The sequence below is a fragment of the Homo sapiens genome, chromosome 4 (assembly GCF_000001405.40).
Source record: "Homo sapiens chromosome 4, GRCh38.p14 Primary Assembly".
NCBI classification, from domain to species: Eukaryota; Metazoa; Chordata; class Mammalia; order Primates; family Hominidae; genus Homo; species Homo sapiens.
This window is the reverse complement of record NC_000004.12, coordinates 112,873,532-112,891,073: the sequence shown is the minus strand read 5'-3', so window position 1 is coordinate 112,891,073 and position 17,542 is coordinate 112,873,532. Positions and strand designations below refer to the sequence as shown.

The 17,542-nt window shown below is 39.4% G+C and overlaps 1 protein-coding gene and 1 long non-coding RNA gene across 45 annotated transcripts in view; one reads left to right on the top strand and one right to left on the bottom strand.

Moving 5' to 3' along the window:
• The window catches only part of ANK2 (ankyrin 2), a 678,115-nt gene that overhangs the window by 492,663 nt on the left and 167,910 nt on the right, over nucleotides 1-17,542 (bottom strand). The window lies entirely within an intron of this gene.
• Nucleotides 5,121-10,961, top strand: LOC102723896 (uncharacterized). 2 transcript variants are annotated; one of them, XR_007058233.1, is made up of 3 exons: nucleotides 5,121-5,196; nucleotides 8,919-9,056; nucleotides 10,216-10,961. It is a non-coding gene; the product is annotated as an uncharacterized LOC102723896 (long non-coding RNA). The 2 variants fall into 2 exon arrangements; XR_427577.3 differs by lacking the exon at nucleotides 5,121-5,196 and having other exon boundaries at nucleotides 8,658-9,056.

The window sequence follows — 17,542 nt, the reverse complement described above, 5'->3', positions numbered from 1 at the left end:
CAGGAAAATACCTGGAACAGTAACTTTACACCTGGAACATAAAAAACTGTCAAAAAGATAGATGATTAGTTATTCTTTGGAACACAGTTTCCCTTGGCCTGCACACTACATCATTTTTCTACTGTAAATGAAAAGGAGTTCTTAGAAGGATTAAAAAGTCTTTGGATAGCACCTAACATTGCAGAGCCAATAGAAATGTGTATCACAGGCCGGGCGTAGTGGCTCACGCCTGTAATCCCAGCATTTTGGGAGGCTGAGGCAGGCAGATCACCTGAGGTCAGGAGTTCGAGACCAGCCTGACCAACATGGAAAAACCCTGTCTCTACTAAAAATACAAAATTAGCCTGGCATGGTGGCACATGCCTGTAATCCCAGCTACTAGGGAGGCTGAGGCAGGAGAATAGCTTGAACCTGGGAGGCGGAGGTTGCGGTGAGCTGAGATCATGCCATTGCACTCCAGCCTGGGCAATAAGAGCGAAACTCCGTCTCAAAAAAAAAAAAAAAAAAAAAAAAAAAACCACAGAAATGTATATCATAAATTCCTGCTACAAACTTTATTCTTCAGAGTTATTGCATTGGGAATTATGTAGGAAAACAAATCCATTTCAGAATGCATTCTTTGAAGGACATGTAATATTCTACAGCCCAAATATCTGATCGTTGTAGGTGGCCTAACATGTAGGTTCAAGTAGCAGAACCACACCATGCTCTTGAATACTATTTAATTTTATTCTAGAATCTGGTACTTCAAAGACTGAGGAGCCAAGTTTCAAGGCTCATCTTGAGGGAACAGGAAAGGAAATCTCAGAGCAGCAAAGTACATAAAGAAAGCTCTTTCTCTTTCTCTTTCTCCCACTGTGAAAGAACAAAAATATTTGGCAAGAAATGTTATGTTCGTACCTCCTCACAGTGTTTTTAAAGGAAGAAAAAGAGGTGAAAGAGAATGGAGGGGTCTGAATGTTATAAGCCCCAACATTATTAGTTTCACATTCCCTAAGCCTGTTTAATTGTTTACTTCATCTTTTGTTTAAGTAGTCTCTCCTCATAGCATGTCTTTGCTAGACATTAATGAGGCAAAATGCTGAAGAATGATGTATTTTTTACTTACAAGCTATAAAAAGAAGAAATAAATTTACAACTGCACTCAACAAAGAAAACATCACGGTCCCACAGACCTCTGCAACCCTGAGTCCTTGAATTTAGATTCATCCAGCACTGGCTAACATTATGTGGTAATTGTGTTTCCTCAAACTCAAATAATTCATGCCAATTACATAACTCACGCAACTCCCTATGGATTTAGCAATTCTCGAACAGCTGGGATGTGAAGTAAAGACCATAAACTCAGTTCTTTTCAAGGAGAAATTACAACACAAACCTATTGGATCATGACATGCTTTACTAATAAAGAAAGTATCATGTTTTACTTTCATTTCTCACATTAATTTGTAAAGTAGAAATAATTCACATTTTTTAAGAAAATAATTAGGAACCCAGTCAAAAAAAAAAGAACAAGGAAAAAAATAGAAAAATCTAAATTTTTAAAAAAGCATCAAAAAAAGTGAGTCATCTAAAATAAAGTGGAGAAAATGTTTATTCTTGTCTATGGAGTATACCTCTCTGCAGAATTAATGAGCTAGCTTGTAGTCAGAAGGATGAGCATAGGCCATGTAGAGCATACATCCATAAGTGTATATAATAGTCTATAGTATTCTGCCCATTGCAGAAACAACATCATGCATCACTCACCCCAAAGAGAAAAAAGGGCAATATCTCCCATAAAAGAAAAGATGAATGGTAAGCACACCAAGAGAATTTAAGGTTTTGTTTTTTTTTTTTTGAATGAGTGACCCCAACAGCTATAGCACTCATAAAATTCAAGTACTGTAAGTGGTATTGTTTCTACTAAACAAGCTTAACAAACTAGAGGAGAAATGTTTAAGAAAATCTTAAATAAATTGAGATTTTTAAGGAGAAATGTGTCATTTATAGAGAAACTAGAAATTATAATTCACAGTTTTGTAATTGCATTTGATATTAGTTGATAAGTGTATACAGTCTAAGGCAACCAATATAATATGGGGTTTGTGCTATGATTTCTTTTTTCTATCACTATTAACAAGCCTTGCAGAAAACCCACCAGAGTTAACAAGGTTCTGTGTACTCGGGTCAGCATTCTGAATCATCCTCTTCTTTGTTTGGCTGTCCTGACATGATACATGTTGGTACCACAACAAGGACAGCTGACAACTGCTTTCCCTGTTTGAAAAGACTTCGCCATTCAACTTGGACCAAAAACATTTGTCATGTTGTAGGCAGTGGATTAACTATAATCAGACCAAGCTAGTGGTAGTGCCAGTGCCAGATTGAAATAATCTGGTGAAACAAAGGCTGGATTTGTCATTTTGAGCATTGCTAGGTTGTTTCTTTTGGGGTAGACAGGGGGAGAGTGGAAGGTTATAAAACGGACATGACTCTCTCTATGTAGAGTCAAAAGAAAATATCAAAATTAAAAATTTTCAAAAAAAAAAATTCAGAGCTGTTTCAAGCTCTTTACCATGTTAAAACTTGCCAGAAGTAGAGATGTTTTCATATTGATTATATCTTAATATGCAAACCCTTGTTATTTTCAGAATACAAAAAATATCTTCCTCATATATTTTTGTTTTTAAAAGGTTGTAGTAGTTATACAAAATATGAGCGTGTTCTGACTTTGTGAACAGCTCACTTTAACTTTCTAGAAGTCATTTTTCATAGGGTATAGTGATTAGATAATCTCTAACTTTGAAATATGATGACATTAAACATTCTATTAACCATTTCCACTTTCTATATAGCTAGACAAGCCTCCACAAACTGACTTTTTTTAACTTATGAATTGTTGTCAAAGAAAGCTTATAAATACTGTCAATATGATATATATAAATAGCAATAAAATGAACAGCTAAAACCATCTTTAAAAAATTAACAAGTAAAGGAAAACACTACCTATCTAGCTTTTGTTAAAATATAATTAATAGGCCTTATAGTACAGCTATGATATCTGAGAAAAATTATTTTAAAACTCTGCAGGCTTTTCTTGAAACACTCAAAATGGCTTAAAATAAATTATCATGAAATGGTAAAATATTTATCAAAACTTGGCCAAATACCAGTCAATGTAAGACATTTAATAAGTACTTATTAAGTATTTACTATGTGTCAAGAATGGAAAATACTGGGGATATTAAACCATGTCTCTGGCCTCATGGACCTTACAGTCTAGTGAAGATAGACACAAATAAATTTATATTTAATATTCTGGAATAAAAACAATAACCAACTGCTTTTTTTTTTATTTGTACAACAGGAAAGAAGACCAATCTCTTTAGTCTGCTAATTCATGGAAACCTCTATGAAAACTCATAATTTAAACTAACATTAAGATGGATTTTTCACTCATACCTATCTGCACATGAGTAAATACAAAAATTGAAGAGTGTATATGGTTTTAAAACAACAGGGAAATATGAAACACATATCTTTTATTCATATATTCAAAAATAATTATTGAGTGCTTACTACAGATGCTCCTCAAGTTACAATGAAACTATGTGCTGATAAACACATCATAAACTGAAAGTACCATAAGTCAAAAATGCACTTAATACACCTAACCTACCAAACAGCGTAGCTTAGCCTTGCCAATCTCAAACGTGCTCAGAACTCAGAACACTTACATTAGCCTACAGTTGGGGAAACATCAAAATTTAAAATTTGAAGTAGTTTTCTACTGAATCCGTCTAGCTTTCACATCATTGTAAAGTTGAAAAATTGTAAGTCAAAGCATTGTAAGTTGGGGACCATCTGTACATGACTTTGGTGGCTAAATACATCAGTAACTAAAAAGATGAGAAAATACAAATCCTTGGCCTCAGCCAAGGAAAGAAAATAAGTACGCAGATGACTATAATATAATTAGGTATCACAGGAGAGACATAAACCAGTGAGAAGTCAAAAGAGAAATAAATTATTTCATATTGGAGGAATTCAGGGAAGCCTCTTGAAAAAAACCTACCATTTGAATAAGATCTTGACGAATGTGTTAAATATTAGCAAAAAATTGGGAGAACGCATTACAGGTTTCTGTGGGATGGCAACATCTAGGTCATCTCAGTTTCTGTTTCTATTGACTGCATTTTTTTGTGATTGTAGGTCTCATTCCACTTCTTCACATGATTAGTAATTTTTTTTATCATATGGTGAACATGGTAGAGATTCTGGACTATGTGGTCTTCCTTTAAAGTGTGTTGAGCTTTTTTTCTGGAAGGCAGTTAAATTATTGGTAGATCACTTTGGCTCCATCCGGATCAATTTTACATTCTTTTTTAGGGAAAGTCTATTTGTTTTTTGTCTGTTTGTTTGTTTGTTTTGAGACAGAGTCTCGCTCTGTCGCCCAAGCTGGAGTGCAGTGGCGCTATCTTGGCTCACTGCAACTTCCACTTCCCAGGTTCAAGCGATTCTCCTGCCTCAGCTTCCTGAGTAGCTGGAATTACAGGCGCGCGCCACCACACCGAGCTGATTTTTGTATTTTTAATAGAGACGAGTTTCACCATGTTGGTCAGGCTGGTCTCGAACTCCTGACCTCGTGATCTGCCCGCCTCGGCCTCCCTAAGTCCTGGGATTACAGGAGTGAGCCACCACACCCACCCAGTCTATTTGTCTTGAACTTAGACTTAGGGCATAGCTTACTCTGGAGTGCGGCCTTTTTGGTGTCTCAACAGAACACTTAAGGTACCTAATGTGGTATTTATATTCTAGCTGAGCCAGAACTTGAACATCTCCCAGCACAGTAAAACCTCTGTATCACCATTCAGCCCTCAGCCCTGCTGCTGGCAATTTCTCCTAGGCCTCATGGAGTCTTGACCTATACACGTGCAGATCAGCTTTTGGCAAATGATGTTGAGCAGCAAGTCCCCAGACAGACTTCTGTGACTGCCATCCTCTCTAAAGACCCGCCTTGCAAATTCCAGCTGCCTCAGCATACTCAAACTCTAATCCCTGCCTCCTCAGCCAGCCCAGTGAGACTGAGCTCTGCAGAGGCTCCACTTCCATGTGCCAGGGCAGAAAACTGTTCCCAGACAGAAGCAAGGGCTTACCTCATGTATATATCTTCCTTTTAGATGTTCAAAAAATACCATCTCAGAGAAAAACTTGGTAAGGAATAGATGAGTATCAATGTCAATGGAAGGTTGCGCTGCTTATTTAATTTTTTTTTTTTTTTTTTTTTTTTTTTTTGAGACAGAGTCTTGCTCTGTCCCCCAGGCTGGAGTGCAGTGGTGCGATCTGGGCTCACTGCAAGCTCTGTCTCCCAGGTTCACGCCATTCTCCTCCCACAGCCTTCCGAGTAGCTGGGACTACAGGTGCCCGCCACCACGCCCGGCTAATTTTTTTGTATTTTTAGCAGAGACGGGGTTTCACCATGTTAGCCAGGATGGTGTCAATCTCCTGACCTCGTGATCTGCCCACCTCCGCCTCCCAAAGTGCTGGGATTACAGGCGTGAGCCACCATGCCCGGCTAATTTTTTTTTTTTTTTTGATGGAGTCTTGCCCTGTTGCCCAGGATGGAGTGCAATGGCATGATCTCGGCTCACTGCAACCTCGGCTTCCCGGGTTCAAGCGATTCTCCTGCCTCAGCCTCCCGAGTAACTGGGATTACAGGCGCGTGCCTCCACACCCAGCTAATTTTTATATTTTTAGTAGAGACAGGGTTTCAACATGTTGGCCAGGCTGGTCTCGAACTCCTGACCTCGTGATCCACCCGCCTCAGCCTCCCAAAGTGCTGGGATTACAGGCGTGAACCACCACGCCCGGCCCTGCTTATTTAATTTTTAAATAAAGAGTTGAGCGTGATTACGGACAGGGAAGGAAGTCAGTGGGGAAAGATTAAGTGAAGACAGAGAAAAAAAGGGCAAGTATTGAGACCAAAAACCCACATAAAAATGCTTTAAAACTTAATAAAAGAATAATATATATTGTATTTTGATAGCAAACATGTCAATCTAGTGTTAATACTTCTATGTGCCCAGCGCTATGCTGAGAGAAATAAGAGGAAGTATAATACATGGCTTCTGTTCTAATAAGTTATAATCAAAAGAAGAATCAAAGCTCACATATCTGAAATAATAAAAGACGAATTCACACTAATCATATGAAAAAAGATCAAAGGTGCTAAAGGGAATTTGGAGGTGAGGGACACACCTGAGGGCTAGTGAAGCTGTGAAAATTATCATGAAAGACAGAAACATTAAGCTGATTTTTGGATTAGAAAACAGAACAGAAAGTGTTCCCAGCAGGAAAAAATATAAGCAAAATATATGTAAGCAAATGTGAACACACTGTGTTTCTGTGACACTAAAAGCAGCTAGATTATAGGGTCGTGAGAAAGGCAGTGCTGGAGAGCTAGAATGAGGCTAGAGCAGGGGAGAGAAACAATGGTCAGCAGGCCAAGTGCAGCCTTCCACATATTTTTGGACAGAGGACAGACTATGAGCTAAGAATGGATTTTATACTTTTTAATGTCTGAAAAAAAAACTAAAGGAGGATAATATTTCATGACATATGAAAATGATATGAAATTCAAATTTTAACACCCATAAAAAAGTTTTATTGGAACACAACCATTCTGATTTGTTTGCATATTGTCTATGGGTGCTTTAGCTACAAGAGCACAGTTGAGTAACAACCACAAGATCCACAAAACCAAAAATATTTCCTACCTAGCCCTTTACCAAAAAAGTCGCCTACTCTAAATAATCAAACTCCTGATCTATTCTATTACCCACAGGCCAAAAAGTAGAATAATTTAAATCAATGTAGGCCAGTTTGTTTCATTTTGGGGATAACAAAACTACAGAAAAATTTTAAAGATACAAATTTATTTTGTCATCTATCACTTATTTGAAAATCTTTTATCACAATCTCAAGTTTCTCATAATTACTTATCAAAAGTATTGATTGATCTAAGTCATATTTTCATAGTCACTCAGAGGAATTTGTGCTATGAGACCAAATTTGGCTGAAGCCTTATTAATTGTTTAAATCTCTATTTAAAAATATTCATAGTATAAGCTCACATTCCTTATCTAGAGCAATCAGGCCCAGGTGAAAAAGAATTGAGAATCATTTTATATATATATATACACATATATATACATATATATACATATATATATGAATGAATGATATTTTTATATATATTTATAATGTAAACATTTTACTTTGATTTAAAGTGTATTTATTTACCATTTCATTCATGAGTAAAGGCCAACAGCCTTTCTCTGATTGCATGACTGCAATATGGAGTTCTAAGTCCTCTTCCTTGCAAAACCCACATCTCCAATGGATAGTCTATTCCAAATTTTAGCTTTTTTAAAGTGGAGAGGGGAAAAAAGTCAAGGGAAATGTCAAGCTAAATGTAGGCAGTATGAATACAGATTCCTTAAAGATTTCGATGAATTTCTTTCTAATCTCGTTACAGTTTTCTGGCCCACCCTGATTCACTTTTATCGTTTTTACTAAACATTCCATTTTTCATAGAAAGAATAACTTTTGTTTTCAAATATGTTTCATCTGCTCATATAATATTTAATTAAATTGCATAATTATAATCATAAATGCAAATGAAAAGCAGCACACATGATCATAACCTATCTGTACATGCAACTCCGCAGGTTGGAACAAGACTGATCAAGCAGGCCGGGTGCGGTGGCTCATGCCTGTAATCCCAGCACTTTGGGAGGCCAATGTGGGTGGATCACTTGAGGTCAGGCGTTCGAGACCAGCCTGGCCAACATGGCAAAACCTCATCTCTACTAAAAATACAAAAATTAGACAGGTGTAGTGGTGGGTGCCTATAATCCCAGCTACTCAGGAGGCTGAGGCAGGAGAATCGCTTGAACCAGGGAGACGGAGGTTGCAGTGAGCCAAGATCGCACCACTGCACTCCAGCCTGGGCAAAAGAGTGAAACTCCATCTCAAAAAAAAAAAAAAAAAAAAAAAAAAAAAAAAAAAAAAGACTAACCAAGTAAACCAGAAAGTGTCCAGTAGCCACACGGAGCACATTGCAGCCATTCAGTTTCTTCTCCAGGGGATAGGAGGTATAGGCCAGTCCAGCCTGGTGACATAGTGTGCACTCCAATGTATTTTGTTACAAGCTAATAAAGGCTTTCATCCTTTGTACAAGACACTGGTGTGTTTCTTTTTTTGGAATTTATCCAGAAATATTCTTCCTATTCTCAGGGTTCCTAAAACTACATTAAATATTATCTGCCTACGGTAAGTGACAAAATCAACAGAACCTAGGTTTTTTGCTTCATTTTAAAAAAAAAAAATTCTATTATTAATGCATTAAACCTGGCGTTTTGGCTTAATTTTAATTTGGATAATTCATTTTGCCTACATAAATTTTCCCAAAGTTTCAATTAAATACGGCATCCTTTGATTCTGATCCTGAACCAACATTCTTATTTTTCTGAATCATTGAACAGCTGGCACATTCCCACCCCCAGATTAGGTTTCCATCCATTCCAAGTTAGTAAACATCATTCAGAATTCAAAATAAAAAAAATGCATCTTAAACTAGTAATATTTTTTTTTAAGAGACTATGTCTCTATGTTGCCCGGGCTGAACTGAAACTCTGAGATCAAGCAATCCTCCCACCTTAGCCTCCCGAGTATCTGGCTTGTGCCACCCCTCCCAGCTAAATATTTCAGCAACTTCAGAGGCACTTAATTTTCCTCCTTTTGTAAACTGGCAATCTTGACTCTAACATTGCTAGGAATTACTTATCTATATTTGTCCTTAAATACAAGACTATTAAAAAAAAATCAAGGGCTGCTTTCTGCCCGTGGATACCGCTGAGGAAGCCTCGTTAAAGTCTCTCTTCCCAGGGCCGTCCTGTCCTAAAGAGCCGGAACAGCTGCGGAAGCTCTTCATGGGAGGGCTGAGCTTTGAAACAACCGATGAGAGCCTGAGGAGCCCTTCTGAGCAGTGGAGAAGGCTCACAGATTGTGTGGTAAGTAGACATGCAAGCACCAAGCACTCCGGGGGCTCTGGGTTTGTCACGTATGCCACTGTGGAGGAGGTAGATGGCAGCCGTGAATGCAAAGCCACACAAGGTGGATGGGAGAGTTGTGGAACCAAAGAGAGCGGTCTCAAGAGAATATTCTCAAAAACCCGGTGCCCACTTAACTGTGAAAAAGATATTTGTTGGTGGCATTAAAGAAGACACTGAAGAACATCAACTAAAAGTTTATTTTGAACAGTTTGAATAATCGAAGTGATGGAAATCATCACTGACTGAGGCAGTGGCTCGTGTGTATGGGCAAAAAACTCGAGAACTGTGTTTGTGACTAATTGTATTTTAGCTTCTGTTCTGTGGAAAGTGTAAAGCATTCCAACAAAGAGTTTTAATGTACATTTTTTATTGCACCCATGCTGTTGATTGCTAAATGTAATAGTCTGATCATGATGCTGAATAAATGTGTCTTTAAAAAAAAATCAAGGATCAAAGCTTCTAGAAAAAAAGGACTTTGAATATCTAGCAGCTGACACAGCTAAACAACAGTATACAATTCCATTAGTTTTTTGTTTGTTTGAGACAGGGTCTCTCTCTGTTGCCCAGGCAGGAGTGCAGTGGCACAATCTCAGCTCACTGCAACCTCCACCTCCTGGGCTCAAGCGATCTCCCAGTCTGCCTCCCAAGTAGCTGGGACCACAGGCACATGCCACCATGCCTGGCTAATTTTTATATTTTTGGTAGAGACGGGGTTTTACCATGTTGCCCAGGCTGGTCTCCAACTCCTGAGCTCAAGTGATCTGCCCGCCTTGGCATCCCAAAGTGCTGGAATTACAGGCATGAGCCACCACACCCAGCCCACTAGTTATTTTAAATTGTTCTATAGAAGATACTTGATAATATATGTTTATTTTATAGTAACATAAGTACTAAAATGTGTAGTATATTTTCATTTTTATAAAAGAGAGTGAGAATTCAGTTTAGACTACAATATTAAGCAGTTATTTCTATGTAAGAAGCATAGTCATCATTTTTACTTTCTTCTTTTAGCTTATCTGTACATGTAATTTTAACAATAAACTTCTGTAACAAGAAACAAGCAATTGAGGGATTGTCTAGGAAGAGACTCTATTATCCCATTTTCCTCTCACTCTAGGACTCCAAGTGAAGGTGAAAGAGACCAGACGAGACCTTTCCTAATTCCATTCATCTCTGAGGGATTTATAAGGAAGTTACCAACCCCTGGTCTAAATAATCAAACAGAGAAAAGAAGAAAAGGAAAAAAGGATCAGAGGACACAGAAGAATTTCTGGACACACTTCCATCTGCTAATTAAATGGAAGGAGCAAGTTTGGGTTTTTTTGTTTTTCCTCTACCTCAATCAAAGACTATGAATCTTTCTTTTAATCTCTGGAGCTAACTTCTCTAATTAGTTTCCTAGAGGAAGAGGATGCTTTACTATTGGCATTTCACACTCTGCACAATGGTATGAACTTGACATACCTCAGCTGATCCAGCAGAAAGAGCTCTAAAACTCAAAAGTTATGTCATCAGTAACTGTCAATAGATAGAAGTGTTCGCAGGTACTACTAGTTCCAATACTCATTGACTTTGTAACAACTGGTATATTAGCTACAATCAAACAAAATGAGGTATTCTTTACAAGAATTACATAAGCCCTTTCCAATAAATTTTCTGTAACGATGGAAATATTCTATAATCTGTCTAGATAACTAGTTTGGGATGAGGTGAGGGGGAAGGAGAGATTACAAAAGGGCTTGGAGGAAACTTTTAAGCATAAAAGATGTGTTCATTCCTTTGAGCATATTGATGGTTTCAAATTTCATTTTAAATTTGTCAAAGTACATATGTTAAATATATACTGTTTACTTTTTACCTCTATAAAGCTGTAAGAGAGTATATGTGTGTGTGTGTGTGTGAGAGAGAGAGAGTGTGTGTGTGTGTGAGTGTCTGTGTCCTACTGGGTTAAAAACATAAAGGCCATATCACTTTTGCTGAAGAGCTGCTTTATGGTGTGCAGCTAGAGTTTTGCTTCGAGTACATAATCTTTGTCATTCCTGGAATTCAGAAATGTCAGACCATTGATGGAAGTCAAGGGAAACCAACATTAATGTCTCCTGGCTGGAGACACAGAAGAAGGAAGCAGGGGCCAGATCACATAGACACTGGGTAGATAAGTGCAAAGTATTCTTATTTAATTCTAAATAAGACTGTAATGGGAAATCAATGCAGAATTTAGGAAAGGATTTTATTTTCAGAGTTCCCTTTGTGGTTGCTTTTAGTTATACTGTTCAAACTATAGATATACGGTTCCAAAACTCAATACATATAAAAATGTATCTAACGAAAAACCCTCTGCATTAGTTATCTATTACTATATAATAAATTATCCCAAAACATAATGGCTTAGAAACCCAAACATTTATTATTTCACGGTTTCTGTGGATGAGGGATTCAGGAGTGGCTTGGCTGGGTGGTTCTGTATTGGGTCAGGAATCAACACATAGGCCAAGACTACAAGTATCTGAAGGCTTGCCTGGGATAGATGATCTGCATCTAAAATGGGCCACTCACATGGGCTGTTTTCTAGAAGCCTCAGTTCCTCAACACATAGACTTCTCCATAGAGCTGTGTGCAGGTCATACACCACGGCAGCTGGCTCCAGAGCTAGTGGTCCAAGAGAACAGGATAGAAGCCACAATATCATTTATGACTGAACCTCAGAAGTCAAACTTCATTATTTCAGCAATATCCTGTAGGTTCACAAGTGATCCCCACTCAATGTTGGTGGGGGGACTCACATGAGAATAATGTACCAAGAGCTGGGAATCCTTTTACTCCAACCCATCCCTAGTTTTTTGTTTTTTGTTTTGTTTTGTTTTGTTTTGTTCATCTTACATGCAACTTCCATCTCATTTTTATCTTTCCAAGTTTATTCAACTTTGAAGTTCAATTTCAAATTTGATATTTTTCCTGAGCTCCTTACATTGGTTAGAAAATATAAATTCCTCCCTCAATGAGTCCTTCCTAGCATTTTGTGCCTAGATATACCATTAAAAATAAGAATCAGGGGCCGGGCGCAGTGGCTCACGCTTGTAATCCCAGCATTTTGGGAGGCTGAGGCGGGCAGATCACGAGGTCAGGAGATCGAGACCACGGTGAAACCCCGTCTCTACTAAAAATACAAAAAAATTAGCCGGGCGTGGTGGCGGGAGCCTGTAGTCCCAGCTACTCGGACAGGCTGAGGCAGGAAAATGGCGTGAACACGAGAGGCGGAGCTTGTAGTGAGCCTAGATCGCGCCACTGCACTCCAGCCTAGGCGACAGAGCGAGACTCCGTCTAAAAAACAAAAAATTAATAAGAGTCAGGGCTGGGCACAGTGGCTCACGCCTGTAATCCCAACACTTTGGGAGGCCAAGGCAGGTGGATCACCTGAGGTCAGGAGTTTGAGACCAGTCTGGTCAACATGGTGAAACTCCCTTCTACTAAAAATACAAAAATTAACTGGGCGTGGTGGCGCATGCCTGTAATCCCAGCTACTCGGGAGGCTGAGGCAGGAGAATCGCTTGAACCTGGGAGGCGGAGGTGGCAGTGAGCTGAGATTGCACCACTGCACTCAGGCCTGGGCAACAAGAGCAAAACTCCATCTCAAAGAAAAATGAAAAAATAAATTAAATAAATAAACAAATAAAAGAACCACAACAGAAAGAGAAAGCTTCAAGTAGGAGATGGTAATGAGTTTGGTTTTGAACATGCTGAGATTGAGGTATCAATTGGACAGCCGGATGAAGATTTCTCAGAGGCAAAAGGAGATAGATAGATAGATAGATAGATAGATGAGTCTAAAGTTAGGGGAAAAGCTAGAGATAGAGAGTTTGAAGTCATCAATTTACATATAGGTTTCAAACTCACAAGCTTACATGTAAACCTGGAGGGACTAACTAGGGTAGATGTATGGCATAAAATGATAAGATAGTCAGGACCCTGAGAATCCAACAAACAGGAGTCAAAGATTGGTCATTCATTCATTCAACAAGTAATTTTTTAACAACCATGATTATGGATGGGAGATAGAAATATATGGGAAGATTAGGTTAATGCAAAAAGATAAATATAAGAACTGAAAAATATTTAACGATTTTAGCTAGGTGGAGAATCCAAGGTGGAGGTTTTACCTCCAGCATTAAGATGGAGGTAAAAGGTAAATTGCAGTGGGTGAGGAGGGAATGGGAGTTCAGTAAGTAAAAAAGAGAAGTGTAGATTCTGAGTCAGCTTTGTGATGGGCAACCTATGCAGTCACATAGGGCCCCAGTCCCCATGAGTTGTTTAATACTCTGAGGTTGCCATCTTGAAATTCTTAATAATTTTGAACAAGTAACCATTCATTTTCATTTGTCCTGGGCTCTGAAAATTCTGTATCCTATCCTTTGTAGCTCATACTTTAAAGAAGCTTGACTGAGCAAGAAAAGAGAGATAAGGGGCCAGGTGCTGTGTCTCATGCCTGTAATCCCAGCACTTTGAGAGGCTGAGATGTGAGGATCACTTGAGCCCTGCAGTTTGAGGCTGCAGTGAGCTATAATCATACCACAGCACTCTAGGCTGGATGACAGGTAAGATGCTATCTCAAAAAGAGAGAGAGCATGAGAGAGAGAGAAAGGCAGTAGGCAATAGAACTGATGTGCAGACAGCAGAACATTCTCCTTTAATTATTGTGGTGGGCATTCTGGTTGTTGTTGACATTTTAGGATGAAAACGTCTTACAGGCTTAGCAATAGGAGGCAATGGGGGAAAGAGGTTGAAAATACAGAAGGGAGAGGAAATAGATGATAAAGTAAAATAGCAACGACAAAGAATGAAATGAGAACTGCAGAGCCCAGGTGAACACCTAATCCCTGAAACTAAAGGGGGAAAGGTGAAGATGGGGAGAAAGGAATAGAGTTTTGTTCTGAAGGTCTTATTTATCTCAATTAAGGGGGAGAAAGTCATCTGCTCAGAGGAAGGGAGAGGAGATTGTTGGGTAGAAAAAAATTATGGGTTGAGAAAGCAGTTCCATGTCATTTTCAGTACAGCTACACTGTACTTTTTATCTATCAGTGCAACAAATTATCTCTACTAATGGAGACAGGGGTACCTCAGTGATCCTGGAACCTAGACTTTGTGGTATCTGATGTGCACAGGAAAATGAATATTAGAATAGTAGACCTGACACATGGATTGGGTGTAATATTTCCTTGCAATGATAAAAATTACTTCTTCTTTGGCTGCAAGATGAGGATAAATTCGCTCCCTTACCAGGTAACAGGCCTTGGGCAAACAGTAAGAATCAGGGAAAGAGCTCTAGCCTAGTCTCAGACAAGCAGCAAATGCCTTACCATCACCTTTTGATGGCAATATATCCATCTCTACATCTGTTTTTTAACACTTTCCTGTAGGGTCAGAGGAAGGGGTATATCCTATCTCAAAGTTAGAGCCTATACCTGTGCCCTACATTCCACACATACTTCTTTTTTTTTGCTTTTTCCATCCCCGCAGTTTCCTACCCTCTTTATTTACCTCTGTAAATACTTCCTACATAAATAAAAACACCCTAATTTATCCTATTTTGAGTGTGCCAGCTGCTTTCTGCTGGAATCCACTGTGTAACCTCAAAATATTCCCACAGTATATGCAAAGTTACATTGATTTAAATTAACATTTTAAAGTACGTAGAAATCCCAAGCAGGATTTCCTATTTTAAAGAAGAGATACTGTGATTATCGCTGCAGTGAATCCCTTGAAGCTGTTTTGTACTCAGAATATATGTTTGACTTTCTATTTGTTCAAACTACAAACTTATCTGAATAAAAGCATTGAAAACGGATTGATTATATTCATTCAAAACCCACATTAAATTGTTGGTAAGACATTGAATGTTCTATTGAAAAAAAAAATCCGAAATATACCACACGTGGTGGCTCACATCTATAATCCCAGCAGTTTGGGAAGCCAAGGTAGGAGAATCACTTGAGGCCAGGAGTTCAAGACCAGCCTGGAAAACATGGCGAGACTTTGTCTCTAAAAAAAAAAAAAAAAGAAAAAAGAAAAATTAGCCAGGGAGGGTGATCCGCTCATCTGGTCTCAGCTACTTGGGAGGCTGAAGTGGGAAGATTGCTTGAGCCCAGGAGTTTGAGGCTGCTGCAGTGAGCTATGAGCACACCACTGCACTCCAGCCTGAGGGAAGAGTGAGACCCTGTCTCCTAAAACAAACAAACAAACAAAAAACCACACACACACAAATATCCAGAAATATCCACAGAAATATCCAGGAAATATTTCACATTTGCTGTAATGATTACGGCAGAAATTAAAGGTAATAAGGGGCTGTGCGTGGTGGCTCACACTTGTAATCCCAACACTTTGGGAGGCTGAGGTGGGAAGATCACTTGAGGGTAGGAGTTCAAGATCTGCCTGCACAAAATAGTAAGATTCTCATCTCTACAAATAAATAAATAAATAAATAAATAAATAAATGTAATTAGCCTGTCATGGTGGCACATGCCTGTAGTCCAAGCAACTCAAGAGGCTAAGCCAGGAGGATCACTTGAACCAGGAGTTCAAGGGTGCAGTGAGCTATGATGGCACCACTGCACTCCAGCCTGGGTGACAGAGCAAGACCCTGTCCCAAAAAACATAATTAGGCGGAGCGCAGTGGTGCAAGCCTATAAGCCAACATTTTGGGAGGCCCAGATGGGTGGACCACTTGAAGTCAGGAGTTTGAGACCATCCTGGCCAACATGGCAAAACCCATCTCTACTAAAACTACAAAAACCTTGGGCATGGTGGCGCCCACCTGTAATCCCAGCTACTGAGGAGGCTGAGGCACAACAATCACTTGAACCCAGGAGGCGGAGGTTACAGTGAGCCAAGATCGCCTGGGCAACAGAGCCAGACTCAGTCTCAAAAAAAAAAAAAAAAGTAATTAGGGAATTGGTACATAATTTCTCAGAATGGCCTTCATTCATCTAAGCATTTTTGCCTAGAATTCTAAAAACAAACAAGTGTTTCCACAGCTAGTCTCTCAGTTTCTCAGTCCATACTTCTGACTACCATCCGACAAATATTTGCTGAGCTACTAAGTACAAGGAATTGCTCTACGCCCCGGGGATGCAATCGATATAATTACTAATTCCTTCTAAAAACCTCCATTGATTTCCCACTGATTACAGAAGAAAATTCATATTCATTCACCAAGCAAACATTTCTGAGTTGAATTTTTATCCAGAGTCATTTCCCACCATTCCTTTAGGTCAGTGGTTATCAAACATTTTGGTGTTAGGAGCTATTCACACTTTTTTTTTTTTTTTTTTTTTTTGAGATGGCGTCTTCCTCTGTCGCACCCAGCTGGAGTGCAGTGGTGCGATCTTGGCTCACTGCAACCTCCGCCTTCCACATTCAAGCGATTCTCCTGCCTCAGCCTCCCAAGTAGCTGGGATTACAGGCGCCTGCCAGCACACCCAGCTAATTTTTTGTATTTTCAGTGGAGATGGGGTTTCACCATGTTGGTCAGGCTGGTCTCAAACACCTGACCTCACGTAATCTGCCCGCCTTGGCTTAATAATTTTTAAAAGTGTGGGCCAGTTGCAGTGGCTCACGCCTGTAATCCCAGCACTTTGGGAGGCTGAGGCGATCGGATTACCTGAGGTCATGAGTTCGACACCAGCCTGACCAACATGGTGAAACCCCGTCTCTACTAAAAATACAAAAAATTAGCCAGGCATGGTGGCAGGCGCCTGTAATCCCAGCTACTCAGGAGGCTGAGGCAGGAGAATCGCTTGAACCCAGGAGGCGGAGGTTGCAGTGAGCCGAGATGGCGCCATTGAACTCCAGCTTGGGAGACAGTGCGAGACTCTGACTCAAAAAAAAAAAAAAAAAAAGAGAACCCCAAGAGCTTTTGTGTGTGTGAATTGTATCTATCAATATTTACCATCTTCAAAATTAAAGCTGGAAACTTTCTCAAATGTTTATTTATTAAATCACTTTCACACATGGAACATTCTCCAGGATCAATCACATATTATTCCACAAAGCAAGCTTTAATAAATTTAAAAGGAATGAAATCATACACAGTATATTCTCTCACCAAAGTGGAATAACTTTAGAAACCAATAACAGGGGCCGGGCATGGTGGCTCACGCCTGTAATCCCAGCACTTTGGGAGGCTGAGGCAGGCGGATCACGAGGTCGAGATCAAGACCATCCTGGCTAACACGGTGAAACCCCGTCTCTACCAAAAATACAAAAAAAAAAAAAAATAGCCAAGCGTGGTGGCGGGTGCCTGTAGTCCCAGCTACTCGGGAGGCTGAGGCAGGAGAATGGTGTGAACCCGGGAGGCGGAGCTTGCAGTGAGCCAAGATCACGCCACTGCACTCCAGCCTGGGCAACAGAGCGGGACTCCATCTCAAAAAAAAAAAAAAGAAAGAAAA